The sequence below is a fragment of the Homo sapiens genome, chromosome 9 (genome assembly GCF_000001405.40).
Source record: "Homo sapiens chromosome 9, GRCh38.p14 Primary Assembly".
Taxonomy (NCBI): domain Eukaryota; kingdom Metazoa; phylum Chordata; class Mammalia; order Primates; family Hominidae; genus Homo; species Homo sapiens.
Window position 1 is genome coordinate 2,903,895 of NC_000009.12, and position 1,971 is coordinate 2,905,865.

The following is a 1,971-nucleotide window of genomic DNA, read 5'->3' on the forward strand; positions in this document are numbered from 1 at the left end:
ATTGGTTGAAAGAAAGAAGGGAAGTTAAGAAATACTTAAGTTGAGGAAATTAAGGGAACTTAATATTTTGGAAAAGGAAGGATCAAATTGTTTTGTGAGAGCTATTAATATAATAATAGAGGTTTGCTGTGGTGCTAGCCTGGAAGATTAAATGCTCTTTTGGCCATGATATTTTGATCATAAGCTTACTTCTTTTAGGACCCATGAGGAGCTCTTTGGGGACACATTCATTCACTCATTCACCAAACATTTATCCAGCACCTTTGTGTAACACTTTGTTACAAAGGGCAGTAGACAAGGTCTTGTGCTCAAAGTATTAGGGGTCCCAGACAAGTTAAACAATAACTGAGACCAACCTCATCCAGATGCCATAAAAGTGATGTTTGTGCAGGGGTCTTTGAGTGATGTGGGAGAGGCATCTAACTCAGCCTTGGGAAAAGCTTTGCTGGAGAGGCCATCCTTGACGAAGTTTTTAAGTTTCAATAGGAAACTTTGAGCCCCACCTTCCCTTCAAATGGGTCACTCTGTAACAATGTACCACAGGTTTCTTCTTGTGTTCTAAAGCACCTCCAGCTGTTTCTGGATTTGGGTCACTGTGGGTGGTTGTTTTACAGATTAACTCTGCAACTCTGCTCTAGGTCTCCCACTAAATGCTCCCTTAACACCCTTTCCCTCTCCTTCATATCACTTATTGCAATTATGATAATTAATTATGCATCAAGCTATTTAATGCCTACTTCCCTCCCACTACGATATGAGTTTCCTGGAGGCAGGGATTGAATCTGTCCCAATCTGCTGCATTTCTGCTGCCTGACATAGTGAGTGACCCAGCCACTGAATGAAGCACTAGTCTCAAAGCTCTTGTAAAATCTGCCAGGTTACCTGAGAGCTTGTCCTCTGTGATGAAGTGTTTTTGTCCTCTTGCTCAGTTTTAGGAATAACTGTTAGCTTTTCTTTTATTTTCAAATCACTTTAAGATAATTAATTTTCAAAATAAAGTTTTCCACCCCACCAAGGAAAAATAGAAACTTTCACATTATATGCAATGGTGGATGTTTGTGCCTTTAGTAATAAATTCGCTGATCTTGAAATGTTTCTAGTATATCAATGATGCCCAGATGGTATGCTCTTGCATATCAGTAGTGTTTATAGTGTCCTAAAATGGTAGAACAAAAAACAAACGGAGAAAAAGTTATTTTGGTGCTAAATTACCAACAATTCCTCTGGGTAACACAATTTATTTTAGTTCTTCCTAACACACACACGTGCTTCCTCTCAGATGCTGTAATAGCAAATTGACATTGAACTGGGGGTGGGAGTGGTCTGGAGAAGGGCATTACCATTGCTGAACACTTAATTGAGCACCTACTGTATGCTAAGCACTTTTCTAATATTCTGTCATTTAGTCCCCATCTCCACTGAGGATGCTGAAGTCTAGACATCAGGAAATGGATGGTGAAGAAATATAGTCAAGATCTGGAATTCTCAGGGAATTAAGCACCCTCTTCTGCTTCTGTCTGTTAGCTGCTGAGTAAGAGGCAAAGGAAAAGGAAAGTCATGTGCCCTTCACTCAACAGCCAGTCTGTTTTGACTGAGCTGTGGCCATCCTGAATTATCCTCAGACCTTACAATCTCTCACTATGACCTTATGGTCACTGTTTGTGCCTTCACACAAGGCAGGTGTTGGCCCTGGCCAGGATCTCTCTGGGTGGTATTTTGGTAAAAGCCTTGTTTTTGTAAGAGAAAGCAGAGGTGGAACTCAAGAGTTAGTAGTTTACATGTATTTAAAAGGTGAGTTTTCTAAAACCTTCTAAGTAGTCATATTCTTTTTCAAATCCCAAATGATTCTGTTTGGAATAAACTACAAGTCATCATCTATTTACCACATTGAGAGAGTTGGAAAGCAGACAACAGGAAGAAAAGGGAGGAAGAAAGAAAATTAACATTTATTGAGCATTAATTCTGTGAACT

At 39.6% G+C, this 1,971-nt stretch overlaps 1 annotated feature.

The window, feature by feature from the left end:
• Window positions 237-820: an enhancer, noted in NCBI's record as "NANOG hESC enhancer chr9:2904131-2904714 (GRCh37/hg19 assembly coordinates)". NCBI's record gives its function as "activates a minimal SCP1, AML or CMV promoter by ChIP-STARR-seq in primed H9 embryonic stem cells {active_cell/tissue: H9 hESC(primed)}" and the evidence as "EXISTENCE:reporter gene assay evidence [ECO:0000049][PMID:30033119]".